The sequence below is a fragment of the Homo sapiens genome, chromosome 17 (assembly GCF_000001405.40).
Source record: "Homo sapiens chromosome 17, GRCh38.p14 Primary Assembly".
In the NCBI taxonomy this organism is placed as follows: Eukaryota; Metazoa; Chordata; class Mammalia; order Primates; family Hominidae; genus Homo; species Homo sapiens.
In genome coordinates, this window is record NC_000017.11 from 39903741 (window position 1) to 39920098 (window position 16358).

A 16358-nucleotide genomic window follows, 5' to 3' on the forward strand; every position below is an offset into this window, starting at 1 on the left:
GTAGGGCAGGTTTCCTTGTACTAGACTCCCAAACTTGGATAGGCCCTTGGCCTTGGCTTCTGGAGCCATCAGTCCAGGAGGCTAGCCAAACCCAAACTTAGTTTGCCTGGATTTGCAAATATCAATCCCCCTTACCTGAGGCAAAATTACTTTAATGTTCTGATATTTCACTTACCTCTCTGGGTCTCTAGAAAGAAAGGGTAGGTCACAGAGTAACTTCACCTGCTAATTTATATTTGGGAAATGTTTGAATGTTTTATAACAAGCATACATTTCTTTAACTTTTAATTACAGTTTCTTTAAAAATATCAAATAGAACTAAAAAGCTGGCCAGGCGCGGTGGCTCACCGCTGTAATCCCAGTACTTTGGGAGGCCGAGGGGGGTGGATCACTGGAGCTCAGGAGTTCGAGACCAGCCTGGCCAACAAGGGTTAAACCCCATCTCTACTAAAAATACAAAAATTAGCTGGGCATCATTGTGGGCACCTGTAATCCCAGGTATTCTGGAGACTGAGGCAGGAGAATCGCTTGAACCCAGGAGGCAGAGGTTGCAGTGAGCCGAGATCACGCCATTGCACTCCAGCCTAGGCAACAAGCTGTCTCAAAAATAAATAAATAAATAAATAAATAAGTAAATAAATAAATAAATAAATAAAAGCCTGATGATAAAAACAGCAATCTCCTGTCTACCCCTCAGTCCCACACCTGCCAGCCTGCACTCCTTTCATTGCTTTCTAGCTTCCAAAGATGTGTTAAAGTTTCTTATCTGCTGCTGCATTCTTTCTATCCTTGTAGGTTTATACAAAGTTTTTCTATTGCTTTACTGTCATTTAGTGAGGCTTCAAAAGACAAAATTAACATGCACAACCTGCCACTTTTAATCAGAAGTCCATGTATGAAATCCAGGCTGGTTTTGGATGTTAACATGGAGCGAATGGGATACATCAAAGAATGGTTGGCTGCTTGTTTTAAAGAGGTCCCACTGGTGACAGGATGGTAGTGGCGATGGCAGTGAGGACAGACTGGTAAAGGGAAAACCCAGAGGCTTGTGGGGAGAAAGGGCTTTTGTAGTTAGGAAGAGACAGAGGTAGGCCCCTCAGCCAGCTCCAGCAGGATAGAGACAACAACATACAGCGCACAGAGAATTCGTGCCTCAGGGTCATAGTCCATGTCAGGAGGACTGCTGGCCAGCTCATCCCAGTTCTGCTCCATGACAGATTTCACCTGGAAGGAAACCCCCCAGATTGTAACAGCTAGGAACAACGATATACCAGAAATGGCAAATATTTGGCCACACTCCTTGCTGCTGAGCTGATAGGCAGACGTAATAATCCATCATGGCACTCTTTCCTGCAGAGCCCGGAGAGCTTCATACTCTCTCAACATAGTGGCAGGCTCTGCTAGTCAGTCTGCATGGGAACTCAAGATCATACCAGCTGCTGTCCTGGGACTAACCAATTTGCAGCCCTCTCTTGCCCACAGATAAAAAACAGAGCCTAAAGAACCCACCACAAATTGTTCTGGCAACTCTCTGTCCAGGGAATTGTCACAAACCAGCTGCATGGATGTGAGCCGGCAGAAAACTATGGAATAAGAAGGGGCTGTACCCTGGGACTTCTGGGTCCCTTGAGAATATGGGCATTCCCTTCCACTATGACCATGGCCCTCAGCCCAGGCTGTCTCACCTGGTCCTTCAACAGAGGAAGGGTCCCCTTCTCCAGGGCCTCAGCCACAAACTGCTGCTCTTCAGACAGCTCTGGGGGCAAAGAAAGAGTGGTAAAAAGGAGAGATATATGGTGGGACAGGGCCTCAGTGGCTGATCACACCCAGAACATGTATCATCAAAAGGTTCCAGAGAGCCCCTGGGAGTGCTAGATGAGACTTACTCCAAACAGGCCTCTGCTGTGACTCCTGCTTCCCTCTTGGCCTGCAGGAGTCACAGACGAGGAACCAGCCCCTCAATGCCTGGCCTGAGGAAGACATGAAGGAGTGCCCCCCATAAACTGTGAAGAGCAACATGCAGCCCCTCCTCCCAAGATGTGACTCCCCACAGGCCTCTCTGCTCACACTTCCTCCACCCCAGCCTACAGCGAGACCCTTCCTCACCTAGCAGGGCATCCAGGAAGTCCAGAATGGCTTTTGCACGCGCTTCTACCAAGACCCCAGCAGCATTAAAAAGGCTGCTTAGGAGAGGCTTGTCTGGGTCCTCCATGTGTAGCTCCCCGGAAATCAGGACCTCAGATACCTAGGGCCAGGAAGTGTGGGAGATGAGCAGCAGTCTCACCATAGCAGATTATCCTCACTGTGCCAACTGCCATCCCCTCTGGCTCCTATCTCTCTCTGCCCCAAGGCTTTCTTAGGGTCCCTTACTCTTTGCTCTAGATCCTGCCGAATATCCTCCTTGCCGAGGCACTTAGCGAGGGAGTTTAGCACATCTTTTCTCTTCTCCTCTGTCAGGTCCTTGAGGACACTCTCCATGTCCTCCAACTTCTCCTTCATGTTTCTGGAATCCTCCGAACCCAAAGACTTTCCTGTAGAGGCAGCAATTGAGAACCTGGGCCACCCAGCCCAAAAGGTTTTATTTCTAAGGCTCTGTTATTTGTCTGACTGTCTTCTGGAGACCACCTCTTTGTATCTTCCCTTCTTCCAGTCTTTCCGTGTTAAAATTAAGCATCCTTCTTCCAAGATACCTACCATCATTGCCTCCCACTGACCCCACTTCCATCTTCCATCTCCCCAGCTCACCCCCAGTCTAGTCCCAACCCCAAATTCTTCTCCACTTCCTGGAAAAAAACAAAAACTTGGTTATTTGGCCCTTGCCATTCAAAGTGCAGTCCTCAGGCCACACTAGAAGTAATTAGGATTTGGAGAAAGTTAAAGCAGTGGTTCTCAACCTTGACTACATGAGAATCACCTGAGGAGTTATTACAAATCCTGATGTCCAGGCCACACCCCCACAATTAAGTCAGAGTTTCTGGAGACGGGACTCAGTCGTCACTAGTTTTAAAGTTTCCTGGTGTGATTTTGGGGTATAACCAATGAGAACCACTGTGTTTAGAGGAGACAGATGCAGCCTCCAGACTAAAGTTGAAACCTGCTAGGCAGTGCCTCCCGACTTCCTACCCACTCAGCTGACCCCACCTGAGCAGCAGTCTTGAGCCACATGGACTCAGGGTGGGTTGGTGCAGCCACCCTGAACACACTTGGCTATCACCCTTACCTAAACAGGATGAAGCACCATCCTTCTCTGCAGAGAGAGGAAGAGTTATTTCAGAATCTTCAGATCACCTCCAGTCCCCTGCAGACTTCTCTTCCCAGTGATGGAAGTTTTTACTCTTGCAATCTGAGCCCTCACTGCTGGTGCCAGGGAGCCTGCATCCTCACCAGCGTGTGTCAATGGGAAAGCACTGTATTTGCAGACCCTTCCCACATCCTCAAAAACAGGCAGTCATAGGACTGTGCCTAGATGATTGAGGAAGAAGCCAAGGCCCAGAAAGGGGGCAGCATACACTCAGTCGCTCCGCAAATTTGGGTCAGACTTCTCTATCCCTTTCCAAGCTCTCTTAGGCAGTACAACCCTGCTGGGATCAAGGGGAAAACCTAGAAATTCCAGAGGAAGCCACATAATTCAGAATCACAGGGACCTTCTAGTCTCACTCCTTTAGTTTAAAGTCAGGAAAGGCTGGGCATGGTGGCTCACGCCTGTAATCCCAGCACTTTGGGAGGCTGCAGTGGGTGGATCACCTGAGTTCAGGAGTTTGAGAGCAGCCTGCCAACATATAGTGAAACCCTGTCTCTACTAAAAATACAAAAAAAAGAAAAACAAAAAAAACCAAACTTAACTTGGCGTGGTGGAGGGCACCTGTATTCCCAGCTACTTGGGAGGCTGAGGCAGGAGAATCGCTTGAACCCAGGAGGTAGAGGTTGCAGTGAGCTGAGATCACACCACTGCACTCCAGCCTGGGCGACAGAGCAAGACTCTGTCTCAAAAAAATTAAATTAAATTAAATTAAAATAAAGTCAGGAAAACTGTGACTTGGGAGGCTGTAGAGCTAGTGAGTGGCAGGGTGGGACTAGACCCTGAGACTGCCTGACTCCAGTCCAGGACCCTTTTCACAGCCAGTGCTGTCCTGCTGGAACTGGCCAAGTCATTTAATTGTGCTTCCTAGGCCAACAAGACTTCAGGGAGGGCTGTAAGCTCAGGATCCAGCTGACTGCCAGCACGAAGTTGTCCTAGGAGCAGCCTGGAAACCCTAGTCCGATGTGCAATCCAGACTCTTCAACAGGCTAATTTTTCCCCTGCGCTTGCCATGGTTCCCACCTGTGGGTGCGTCTTACCACATCCTCGGACCTAACCACTCTGTAATTCCATTTTTAAAAATAGTGTCTTTGCCCATTCTGAAATGACGAACGGGAAGCCCAGCAGCTCACTCACCTTCTGGAAAGGATTTTGTTTTGCCCCTGAAATGAATATCTAAACCAGCACCAAAAAGGGAGGAAAAAACAAGTTATTGGAGAGACCAGTTATCACTCTGTAAGTTCCCTTTCTCCAGTCCCTCTCAATCCCTATACCAGCCTCCAATCAAAAAAAAAAAAAAAAAAAGACAACTGTTTTTTGTTTTTGTTTTTGTTTTTTGTTTTTTGTTTTTTGTTTTTGAGATGGAGTTTTGCTCTTGTTGCCTAGGCTGGAGTGCAATGGTGAGATCTCGGCTCACTGCAACCTCCACTTCCCAGGTTCAAGCAATTCTCCTGCCTCAGCCTCCCAAGTAGCTGGGATTACAGGCGCATACCACCACACCCAGCTAATATTTATATTTTTAGTAGAGACAGGGTTTCACCATGTTGGCTAGGCTGGTCTCGAACTCCTGATCTCAGGTGATCCGCCCACCTTGGCCTCCCAAAGTGCTGGGATTACAGGCGTGAGCCACCACGTCCAGCCAAAAAAGACAATTATTCTATTTGGAGACTGGGAGAGGAGTTAATGACTCTTATGTCATGTTCAGGCAAATCCTGGGTCAGCGGGTCCAGGTCCCCAGGTCAGAGCATGGAGCCTCAGTCCTTCCTAGTGCTGAACCCACCCTTTTCCCTGGACCCCTCCCCAACCTCCAAGCTCACCAGCCACCCACCCTAGGCTGACAGAGCCTGGTTGAATCCCACCCCCCACCTCACTGGTGTGTTTAGGGCCCCCCATCCTGTTCTCCATCTGCCTTTGCTTACTCATCGTCTCCTTGTTGGGGAAGACAAGCTGCTTTACTCGATAGCTCAGGACCCGATTTGGGGGGATGGTCACTTCCCTTTGGCCCTAGAAAAAGGAGCTCACATTGACGGATCCCCAGGTGTTTCTACATCATTATCTTGCCTGATCTCCCAAACAATCCTGTGAGGCAGTCATTTGTATCCCCATTTTATAGACGAGAAAACTGAGGCTCTCAGAGGTCAGCAGGTGAGACAGTCTCACAGCTAAAAACAGTGGCAGAGCTGAAATTTGAACCCACGTCTGATGCCAAAACTCATCTTGTTGCCACTGTTCATTCAACAAATGTTTACTGAGGAGCTGCTTTGTTCTAGGCACCATGGCTCCTGTCCTCCTACCTCCTAGAAAGGAGACAGACAATAAACAAGCAAAAATACACCTGTGTAATGATGAACCATGGGAAATGTACAAAGAAAATGAAGGCTGGGTGCGTGGCTCACACCTGTAATCCCAGCACTTTGGGAGGCCGAGGTGGGTGGATTGCTTGAGCCCAGGAGTTTGAGACCAGCCTGGACAACATGCAAGACCTCATCTCTATTTAAAAAAGAAAGAAAGAAAATGCAAATGAAAAGAGGGCACCGCTAGAGAGTAACAAGGGAAGGACTGGGCAATGCCACCCACCCTTTCTTGGGGCAAGGTGGCCAAGAGCAGCAGGGCTGCTCGGAGAGGAGTGAAGGAAGAGTCTAAGGCTGGCATCGCCTTGACCTGCGGGGTGTGGGCCAACACTGGCCTCCACAGTCCCTGCCTCCCAGGATCCTAACCTTGTGTTTATAGCTGAGATGGCCCTGAGAGATCTGGCTCCAAAATTTATATTGCCGGTCGCTTTTCAGGGTTTCCTCCTTTACCGTCTCCAGAGTTTCTGTCACCAGATACAGGTTTTCTCTCGTATTAATTGATCGGAATGAAAAGGGTAGTTCCCTCTTCAGCTTCCTGGAGAGAGTGGAGAGAGATGAGAGTTAAGGATCTCAGGGCCTTACCTCCCACTGACTCTTTTCCCTCTCTGTGAGCCAGCTCCTATTGAAGATTAATCGCTTCTGAGACTGGAAAACCAAGGAACACAGCACCCCATCGCAGTTCACTTTACCCACCTCGGGGTGGAGGTAGGGGTGGGGTACAAAGTAGGGTGAGAGGCCAGGTACGGTGGCTATCGCCTGTAATCCCAGCATTTTGGGAGGCTGAGGTGAGTGGATCACCAGGCACACATCTGTAATCCCAGCTACTCAGGAGGCTGAGACAGGAGAATCACTTGAACCCGGGAGGCGGAGGTTGCAGTGAGCCAAGACTGCACCATTGCACTCCAGCCTGGGCAACAGAGCAAGACTCCACCTCAAAACAAATAAATAAAAACAAAGTGGGGCAAGAATTCACCAGCATTTATGGAAGATTACAATGTGCCAGCTGTGAGCCACGCTTTTCCACTTAACCTTCACAATCCTATGATGGTAGGCAGAATTACGTCCACTTTCCATGTAAAGATACTGAGGCTTAGTGACAGGTTGTGAGTGGTCCAAGGTCACACAGCTAGTAAGTGTAGAGCTGGGATTCAAACCCTGGTCAGTGTAAGTCCAAAGAGAGTGCCCTTCCCGTGACACTGAGATAGGCATCTGTGAAGCCCAAGACACCCTCTTCTCTGACAAGGGGCTCCAGCTCCTTGCGCTGGTCCCTGGAGCCAGCTGCATCATCTGCCCTTAGGCTCATGAAGCATCAGATTCCATTCCCGCTGGGGGAAACTCATGTTGAGACCTAAAACAGTCTGATGGAGTTTCTATTTGCAATCAAAAGGCCCTCAAGACATGGGTCCCTGCCTCCGATGACTTTCCCCTACCTATCCAGTGCCCCACCCCACATACAGATACCAATACCCTCACCTGACAAACAAGCATTCTATAATAGAAAACACCGAGCTCTCTTAGAACAATTCTGAAGGCCTCTCCCCAGCAATACTGTGGTAGGGAGGGGTAATTCAAAGGACCAGTAAAATTTTATTGTAAGCCTTTGTTTTTAATTTATTAATAAAAAAGGGTGGCATGGGCATGGTGGCTCACACCTGTAATCCCAGCACTTTGGGAGGCCAAGGCAGGTGGATCACCTGAGGTCAGGAGTTCGAGACCAGATCTCTCTCCAAAAAACCCTGGCCAATAGGGTGAATGAAACCCTGTCTCTACCAAAAATACAAAAATTAGCTAGGCGTGGTGGCGGGCACCTGTAGTCCCAGCTCCTCGGGAGGTTGAGGCAGAAGAATCTCTTGAATCCAGGAGGCAGAGGTTGCAGTGAGCCAAGAATGTACCATTGCACTCCAGCCTGGGCAACAAAAGTGAAACTCCATCTCAAAAAAAAAAAAAGGAAAAGGAAAAGAAAAAAGGTACCCGCTCCACTCAAGGAGAGCAAGGCCAGGAAAACTGTGGGTCACCTTCCCCTGAGCTACTCCTCAATCTCCAACAATCCCAGCTGAAGAAAACAACAACAGAACTATTGCTGAGGGGATGGCTAGTGATGTCCTCTTGAATTGGAAGCACCTGCCCACCAGCTACCAGAACCTCTGTGGCACTGGATCGGTGCCACCCTGCTGGGGTGGGGTGGCTGTACTCCATGCAGGAAACATCCTCCAAGGGGTTCTTTGCTTTCCTCGTGCTTCACTTCAGCTCTCTTTCACTCAGTACCTACTGTGTGCTTGGGGTCAATACAGAGAGGTTAGTAAAGTCAGTCCCTTGTCACAAGTTGCTTCCAGTCCAGTGGGAAAGACGAACATGGAAGCCACTGGCTTGCCCACAAGGCAGAGGGAAACAAGCACAAAATACTGATGTGGGCAGCTCAGTGCAGGAGAGCAGAGGAGAGCAAAGGAGAGTGCCTCTTAAACCACCAGGTTTGGAGGTGGAGGTTGCAGTGAGCCGAGATCATGCCATTGCACTCTAGCCTGGCCGACAGAGCGAGACTCCGTCTCAAAAAAAAACAAAACAAAAACCAAACAAAAAAAAAACAACCAGGTTTGTCCAAGTCAGAGGAATTAACCATCCTGGGGGACAGCAGGGATATGAGTGAATTGGGGGCATCAGAAGGCTTCCTGGAGACTGCTCCTGGGTGAATGAGAAGGCTTCTGGAGGCAGAGAAGAGGAAGGCGTGCTTGCGTAAAGGGGAGGGCTGAGGGAATCCTGGAAGTAGAGAGCGAGAGGCTGCCCTAGAGAGCCAGTCCCCCACAAAGCTCATGAAAAGCAGGGAAAAGAAAAATAAAAATAAATAAATTTTAAAAAGAGCCGGTCTGCCACCCTTGAATCCCTTGGTGCCCAAGATGGGCTTCTTCCCCTCCTTCCCTGCTGCCCAACTCCAACCTCACCTGTTTTCAAGGGTAGCCAGATACTGCTGGGATATCCGGTTCTCCGATATCTTGATTTTCTGATGGTGGAAGCCCTGGAAACTGCCTGAAATTGTTATTTCTTTGGGTAATCTCACTATCAACTCTCCCGTTGAGTCTACATTATCCAGAATTTGAAACTCAGCCTTTTGACCTGGAAAGAGAATGATAAAGGTCACTCTGGAGCAGACCCCCAAAAGATCTCTCTCCAAAACACCCTCCCTGGGGCAGCCCCATCCTGGGTTCCGTGCCACCATCCCCCTCCCTTCTGAGGGAGCGCCACAGCTGTGGCTGTCCAGGAAATGCTGTTCTCACCAGAAGCACAGTTACCTTGGGGTCACAGGATCCCAGATTTGAGCCCACTCCTCCACCTTCTTACCACATGACCTTGGGTAAGTCACTTAACCTCTTTGAATCTGTTTCTTCATCTATAGTAGGAGAATATTACTAATGTCTACTTCCTATATTTAGGGAAATTAGGGCTGGGCACAGTGGCTCACGCCTGTAATCCCAGAACTTTGGGAGGCTGTGGCAGGCAGATCACTTGAGGTCAGGAGTTCGAGACCAGCCTGGCCAATATGGTGAAACCCCGTCTCTACTAAAAAATACAAAAAGTAGCCAGGCCTGGTGGTGTGTGCCTGTAATCACAGCTACTTGAGAGGCTGAGGCATGAGAATCGCTTGAACCCAGGAGGCGGAGGTTGCAGTGAGCTGAGATCACACCACTGCACTCCAGCCTGGAGGAGAGTGACACTCTGCCTCTCTGCCTCAAAACAAAACAAAACAAAACAAGAAAAAGAAAAGGAAAGGAAAAGAAAAGAAATGAAGAAATTAAATATAATGATGTAGTTAAGCACTTAACCAAGTGCCTGGCATACATTCTAACTGCTTAATAATTGTAAGCCAGTCTTGTAGGCTGAAACAAGACAAAGAAAAGTAAAGCTAAAGAAGTAGGAGCCCCAGCCAATTGGGAAATAAAAATTAAGCAGTTCTGGGTGGGCACGGTGGGGTGGCTCACGCCTGTAATCCCAGCACTTTGGGAGGCTGAGGTGGGTAGATCACTTGAGGTCAGGAGTTGGAGACCAACCTGGCCAACATGGTGAAACCCCATCTCTACCAAATTAGTCGGGGGTGGTGGCACATGCCTGTAATTCCAGCTACTTGGGAGGCCGAGGCAGGAGAATCGCTTGAACCTGGGAGGCAGAAGCAAAGACTGCAGTGAGCCAAGATCAAGCCACTGCACTCCAGCCTGGGCGACAGCGAGACTCCATCTCCAATAAAAGCAGTTCTGTCGCTGTTGTTTGTATGAACCACACAAGTATGAAGTGAGGCAACCCTGGAAAGTCACAAACACGCATGGACTCGGCCCTGATTGATCAGGCACTAATAAGGGCCTTGGTTCTGAGTCAGTTGCCACCCCAGGTTCGTGGAGGATGTGTGGGCATGCCGAAGGGGCTGCGTGCCTTTGTCTCCAACCTCCCAGATGGGAACCTACAGGGGAGGGAGAGCTCCCACTGCTAGGTTTTGGAGGCAGGGCTGGATTTCCAAAGACAAATCCATTTTGGAACTGGTGGAAATGTGACAGAATTAGAAACAGTGACTGAAATCACTATTTGTGTGTACATGAGACACTAATGTCTTAGGGACCATTTGCTTCTTGAGCAGTGTAAAAGAAAAGAAAAATATCAGAGAGAAAAAGAAAAATAAAAACTATGTGCACAAAGAGTACTATATGAAGAAGAGGAAAAAGAGTAACTTCTGGTAGAGAAACCTGACAAACATTACCTCAGCCAAGTGATCAAGGTCAACATCAACAGTGATAGGTCATGTTGACAGTACGTACCCCTGATGTGATGTAATAGGAATGGTCCTTTACCTCTGTGGTCTTCCTCCCCGAGACCCAGAACCCAGTCTAACCATGAGAAAAAACATCAGCCAAATTCCAACAGAGGGACGTTCTACAGTATCCCTGACCAGTACTGCTCAAAACTGCTAAGATTATCCCAAACAGGTAAAGTCTGAGAAACTGTCACAGCCAAGAGGAGCCTAAGGAGACATGACAACGAAATGTAATGTAGGATCCTGGATGGGATTCTGGAATAGAAAAAGGACACTAGGTCAAAACTAAGATAACATGGGCTGGGTGCAGCGGCTCACACCTGTAATCCCAGCACTTTGGGAGGCCAAGGCGGGCGGATCACCTGAGGTCAGGAGTTCAAGACCAGCCTGGCCAACATGGTGAAACCTTGTCTCTACTAAAAATACAAAAAATTTGCCAGGTGTGGTGGCAGGCACCTATAATCCCAGCTACTCGGGAGGCTGAGGCAGGAGAACCACTTGAACCTAGAGGTGAAGGTTGCAGTGAGCCGAGATCGCGCCACTGCTCTCCAGCCTGGGCAATAGAGCGACACTCCATCTCAAAAAAAAAAAAAAAAAAGTTAATGTGAATAAAGTATGGACTTTAATAACAAACACAAAATCCTATGCACACTTTTTTTTTTGTTTTTTTTTGAGACGGAGTCTTGCTTTGTCGCCAGGCTGGAGTGCAGTGGTATAATCATGGCTCACTGTGCAACCTCCACCTCCCAGGTTCAAGCAATTCTCCTGCCTCAGCCTCCCGAGTAGCTGGGATTACAGGCATGCGACACCACGCCCAGCTAATTTTTGTATTTTTAGTAAAGACAGGGTTTTGCCATGTTGGCCAGGCTGGTCTCGAACTCCTGGCCTCAAGTGATCCGCCCGCCTCAGCCTCCCAAAGTGCTGGGATTACAGGCATGCGCCATCATGCCCAGCTAATTTTTGTATTTTTAGTAGAGACAGGGTTTCGCCATGTTGGCCAGGCCAGACTTGAACTCCTGACCTCAAGTGATCCACCCGCCTCAGTCTCCCAAAGTGCTGGGATTACAGGCGCGAGCCACTGTGCCCAGCCCTATGCACACTTTAACTGCACCATCAGCATTATACAGTTACAAAATAACCCATTTAAATAGGGAGCAGACCAAGCTAAAAATCAATTCAAATTACCAATTCCCATCATTGTAAGGATTTTCTTTTTAAGTTTGGTTTCACCTCTGCCTCCGAATTTTGTATGCACACAGATGAGCTTTTCCTTAAAGGAAGTTGACTGACTTAGTCAATTTTTTTTTCCCAGACTTAAACTTTGCCCTGTCCCTGGGGAGTAATATTATTGTGGCAAAACATCCTAGTTCTGGGTTAAAGTATTTTTCCATTTTCAGTGAATTGATCATTTGGCAAACTGATTTTTTTTTTTTTTTTTGAGAGCTGACTTTTAGCAAATTGGCTCTTAGCAATTTACTTTTCAGAGAATTGACTCAGTCTTTGAAAGATGCGAATCTGAAATTTCTCCAAAAGCCCCTTGCTTGCTTAACGAAACTCTGCTTGTGGAAAGGTCCACCACCTCCAAGTAATCTGGGTACTGCTCTTGGTCACTTAAAGCAGTTCCTGGCACACTGTAATACTCTAAAGCTGCTCAGGGCTGTTAGAGCTCTTTTCCGTCTCTTGGCATGAGACCTCATAAAAAGAAATGGACTGTATCAGAGAGGTCTGAGCTATGAGCGCCTTGCTATTGTTCATATTATGAAATATTTTTTCACATTATGAAATATAATGAACTCCTCACCATATTCCACTTTGGGCTCCAAGTGAGAGTTCAACACTTAACCCTGGGGCTTCTGAAACCCAAGTACCCCAGGAATAACTGAGATCAGAGGCAGGGGGTTGGAATAATTGACTCTTCCATAAATTCCCTCAATACCTTAGGGATTTCTGCTCATCAGAAACTTCCCCTTCAGTCTTGATAGCCAAGGAACATGAAAGGATAATAAGAATCACCACCGACCTGGGAGATAACTTTTATTGGGTGCTCCTTTTGTGGCAGGCACTGTGATAAATGATTCACGTAATTTGTTCTCATTTGATTTTTTTTTTTTTTTTTTTTGAGACAGAGGCTTGCTTTGTCTCCCAGGCTGGAGTGCAGTGGCGTGATCTCAGCTCACGGCAACCTGCACCTCCCGGGTTCAAGCAATTCTCTTGCCTCAGCCTCCTGAGTAGCCAGGACTACAGGCGCATGCCACCACGCCTGGCTAATTTTTTGTATTTTTTTTTTTTAAGCAGAGACGGGGTTTCACTGTGTTAGCCAGGATGGTCTCGATCTCCTGACCTCGTGATCCGCCCACCTCGGCCTCCCAAAGTGCTGGGATTACAGGAGTGAGCCACCGCACCCATCCCTCACTTGATTCTTACAACAGTCCTCTAGAGTTGACACAGGAGGAAACTGAAACTTAGAGCAATAAAACAACTTGTCCAAAGGTTACGCAGCTGATAAGAGGCAGAGCCAGGCTTTGAAACCAGGTGCTTCCAGCCCTAAAGCCTGCATCCTTTCTTAACCAGTAAGCAAACTGCCCTCATTTACTTATTCATTTAAATGATAAACACATGAGAAGAGCTCGCTAAATTAAAAGCAGATTATTTTACAAGGGAAAAAATGGAAAAGGAAGACCATTTAGGAACGGTTTCCAGTGGAAATAAATCTCCACTTCTCCCACTCTCCTCCCACCATGCAGCTCTTCCGTGCATTTCTTAAATTAAGGTGTGTGGATGTGTACAAATCCCACAGTTTCGTTGTTGATTGGTTGATAACAATGGGGAATTGAGAAGGAGATGGAGTACAAACGGTCAAGGCCTCCTGGCTGGCCACCTGTCATCTACCTTATACTGACCTTGGAGCCCAGAATCCAGTTCATCTAACCACTTGTCCCCATCTGTGTCCAGAATGTCCATCAGGGTGAGGCCTGTTGTGTAGTGCCGGCATCCAAAGAAAGTTCTCTTCTCCCCCACCAGATGGAAGCAGCGGAATCTATCAGCATCAACAAGGCTTCTAACGGCAATCATATCCCCTCCAGCATCCATCTCCTTAACTACAATTCTTGTGATTTCCTCAAATACGCTGAACATTGCGCCTGGACCAACTCAGAAACAGAAGCCAATTTCAGTTTTTGGGAGGAGGGTATTGGTTCAAGTATTTAAATCTTCCACATTTGGCAGCCTGAGGTGTCAGGCCTCTGAACCCAAGCTAAGCCATCATATTCCCTGTGACCTGCATGTATACATCCAGATGGCCTGAAGCAACTGAAGATCCACAAAAGAAATGAAAATAGCCTTAACTGATGACATTCCACCATTGTGATTTGTTCCTGCCCCACCCTGATACAATATAGTCTCCCCGCCGCCGCCCTTAAGAAGGTACTTTGTAATATTCTCCCCTGCCCTTAAGAAGGTACTTTGTAATATTTCTCCACCCTTGAGAATGTACTTTGTAAGCCTATCCCAAACATATAAGAACTAATGATAATGCCACCACCCTTTGCTGACCCCTTTTTTGGACTCAGCTTGCCTGCACCCAGCCTTGTTGCTCATATAAAGCCCGTTTCGTGGACTCTCTTCACATGGACGCACGTGACATGAGGTCAAGGAAGAGCCAAAGGTTCCAGGACAATCAGTACCTGGAATGATTTGCCTGCCTTACTTCTAGAACGTGAGGCAGCCATGACTCAGTAAAGAGGGCTAAACATCACAGATCCCAGATTCTCCTCTGCCCCTCATGGTACCCATCTGGAGGAAAAAAGTAGCAGCTATTGCCCCAAATAGAGAAAGTGAGACCCATTTTCTACATCTCCCACAGCAGAGTTGCCCCCTTGTTCCAAGGGGCCCAAGGGATGGAAAGGCAGGCCCACCATGCCCCAGCCAGACTAGCCCCAACGTTGATGAACAGAGGAACCAGGGAGGAATGACGGGCACGGTTGCCAGACTTCACATTACTAACCTCAACTGGTCGTTTCTTCCCTTGGCTCTGATTCTTGGGCTCCCTGCCTTGCTGTATTCTGCAAGGCAATTGGATGGGTGCCTCCCTACCAACAATTTCCCAATGAGGTGGTGGTAAATTGGCCTCAGAAGAAACAAAAGCTTCCTGGGATCCACTTCCCCATCCTACCTTTGGCCACCTTCCCCTATATCCCTTCTGCCCAGCACAGGCACTTATCCACTCACTGCTTCCTCCTCTGTCTCTGGCCCCATCATGGTGGTTGACTCTCAGTTCACTACCAACCTGGGAATTCTAGGTGTCTGGAAAGACAGTACCCGGGAACCACAGGCCCATCTCAAGTGGTACCCACCTCCTCTCTGACCTCAGCTGTTCACCAGAAATGGAAGTTGTGAGAATCCCCACAGATCTCTGCACAGTTCCTGGCCTCTGAATCTCAGGAAGCTAAAATAATGAAACTGAAAGTTGTCCAGGTGTGGAACTTCCTGGACGGGTGGGTAGGGCTGGGTGCCCCACCTCCCAAGCCTTTAGATAAGCCACCTTATAACTGAGCTGGAGGCAGATTAAGGCCAGAACCCCCCTTTTTTTTTTTTTTTTGAGACGGAGTCTTGCTCTATCGCCGAGGCTGGAGTGCAATGGCGCAATCTCGGCTCACTGCAAGCTCCGCCTCCCAAGTTCACGCCATTCTCCTGCCTCAGCCTCCCGAGTAGCTGGGACTACAGGTGCCTGCCACCACGCCCAGCTAATTTTTTTGTGTGTGTTTTTTAGTAGAGACGGGGTTTCACCGTGTTAGCCAGGATGGTCTCAATCTCCTGACCTTGTGACCCACCCACCTCGGCCTCTCAAAGTGCTGGGATTACAGGTGTGAGCCACCATGCCCGGCCAGAACCCCTTCTTCTTCTTGTACCTAAGGAGTGGGTAGGAGATCCTGGTATGTATTCTAGGTGAGTGTGGGCCAGACAATGGTGCACACCGTGGCGCCCTGGGCCATGCAATCCAGTGTGTTTGGAATAGAGAAATGGAATATGAGTAGGTATCAAGTGCCAGCAGGCAATGGCTGTGTCTGTGCCAGGGACATGAGGACCATAACCCAGCAGAACCAGCTGCCCAAATGCCATGCGACGGTCAACACTGAAGACCCAGGACAACAGCAGCTAACACCTGGAGGCAACAGGGTGGGCCTGTAAGGAGCACTCAGCCTCCCTCCCCATCTCGTGCTCCCGTGTACACTCTCAAGGAGATGCTGGTCTTCCTTATCTGGATGCCATCTGGCTTCTCCACCTACCTCCTTCTCCAGGGAGAGGCCTCTGACCTCACCCATGTCCTCTCTCAGAGATAACCACCCCGGTGAGCCCAGCCTGTCTTCCAGCCTCTGCATGCCTCAGTTCTGAAAGAACATTTGAAGGGATGACAGGCCAGGCGTGGTGGTTCATGCCTGTAATCCCAACACTTTCAGAGGCCGAAGCAGGCAGATCACTTGAGGCCAGGAGTTCAAGACCAGCCTGGCCAACATGGCGAAACCCCGTCTCTACCAAAAAAAAAAAAAAAAAAAAAATTAGCCAGATGTTTTGGCACACACCTGTAATCCCAGCTACTCAGGAGGCTGAGGCATGAGAATTGCTTGAACCTGGGAGGCGGAGGTTGCAGTGAGCCAAGATGGTGCCACTGCACTCCAGCCTGGGCAACAGAGCAAGACTCAGTCTCAAAAAAATAAATAAATAAATAAATAAATAGACGACAGTGGTGGTAGTAACAATTACAATTATAATAATATGGCTACCATATATTGAGTATTTACTATATGCCAGGCACTGTGCTAATGCTCACAACAGCCCTAAGAGGCATTATCTTTACACAACAGTGGAATAAACTGAAGCTCAGAGAAGTTGACACAGCAACATGGCTAATAAGTGGCAA

At 48.3% G+C, this 16358-nt stretch overlaps 1 protein-coding gene across 15 annotated transcripts, besides 8 other annotated features; it reads right to left on the reverse strand.

The window, feature by feature from the left end:
• GSDMB (gasdermin B) lies at positions 855 to 14895 on the reverse strand. 15 transcript variants are annotated; one of them, NR_170970.1, is made up of 11 exons: positions 14794 to 14895; positions 13342 to 13581; positions 8586 to 8757; positions 6016 to 6184; positions 5218 to 5302; positions 4436 to 4461; positions 3221 to 3247; positions 2371 to 2531; positions 2107 to 2245; positions 1686 to 1756; positions 855 to 1224 (listed from the first exon to the last, which is right to left on the reverse strand). NR_170970.1 is itself a non-coding variant. In NM_001165958.2 (11 exons), exons 2-11 carry the CDS (start codon positions 13574 to 13576, stop codon positions 1072 to 1074), a joined length of 1251 nt encoding a protein of 416 aa, NP_001159430.1. In that variant the 5' UTR covers positions 13577 to 13590; positions 14794 to 14895; the 3' UTR covers positions 855 to 1071. The 15 variants fall into 15 exon arrangements, 10 of the variants coding, with proteins under 10 accessions (NP_001159430.1, NP_001375351.1, NP_001159431.1 ...); NM_001165958.2 differs by having other exon boundaries at positions 4436 to 4474; positions 13342 to 13590; NR_170973.1 differs by having other exon boundaries at positions 13342 to 14895.
• Positions 12454 to 12943: an enhancer, noted in NCBI's record as "+496 to +989; PvuII/BstXI fragment". NCBI's record gives its function as "drives expression in gastric cancer cells" and the evidence as "EXISTENCE:reporter gene assay evidence [ECO:0000049][PMID:26016667]".
• Positions 12454 to 15325: a biological region, named in NCBI's record as "GSDMB 5' regulatory region". NCBI's record gives its function as "regulatory_interactions: GSDMB".
• Positions 13495 to 14124: a promoter, noted in NCBI's record as "630 bp LTR promoter". NCBI's record gives the evidence for it as "EXISTENCE:reporter gene assay evidence [ECO:0000049][PMID:16625320]".
• Positions 13674 to 14083: a mobile genetic element.
• Positions 13675 to 14083: a promoter, noted in NCBI's record as "42-451 LTR promoter". NCBI's record gives the evidence for it as "EXISTENCE:reporter gene assay evidence [ECO:0000049][PMID:18478180]".
• Positions 14807 to 15169: a promoter, noted in NCBI's record as "-351 to +12 cellular promoter". NCBI's record gives the evidence for it as "EXISTENCE:reporter gene assay evidence [ECO:0000049][PMID:20410667]".
• Positions 15038 to 15325: a mobile genetic element.
• Positions 15148 to 15161: a transcriptional cis regulatory region, noted in NCBI's record as "IKZF1 site". NCBI's record gives its function as "contributes to promoter activity" and the evidence as "EXISTENCE:site-directed mutagenesis evidence [ECO:0005528][PMID:20410667]".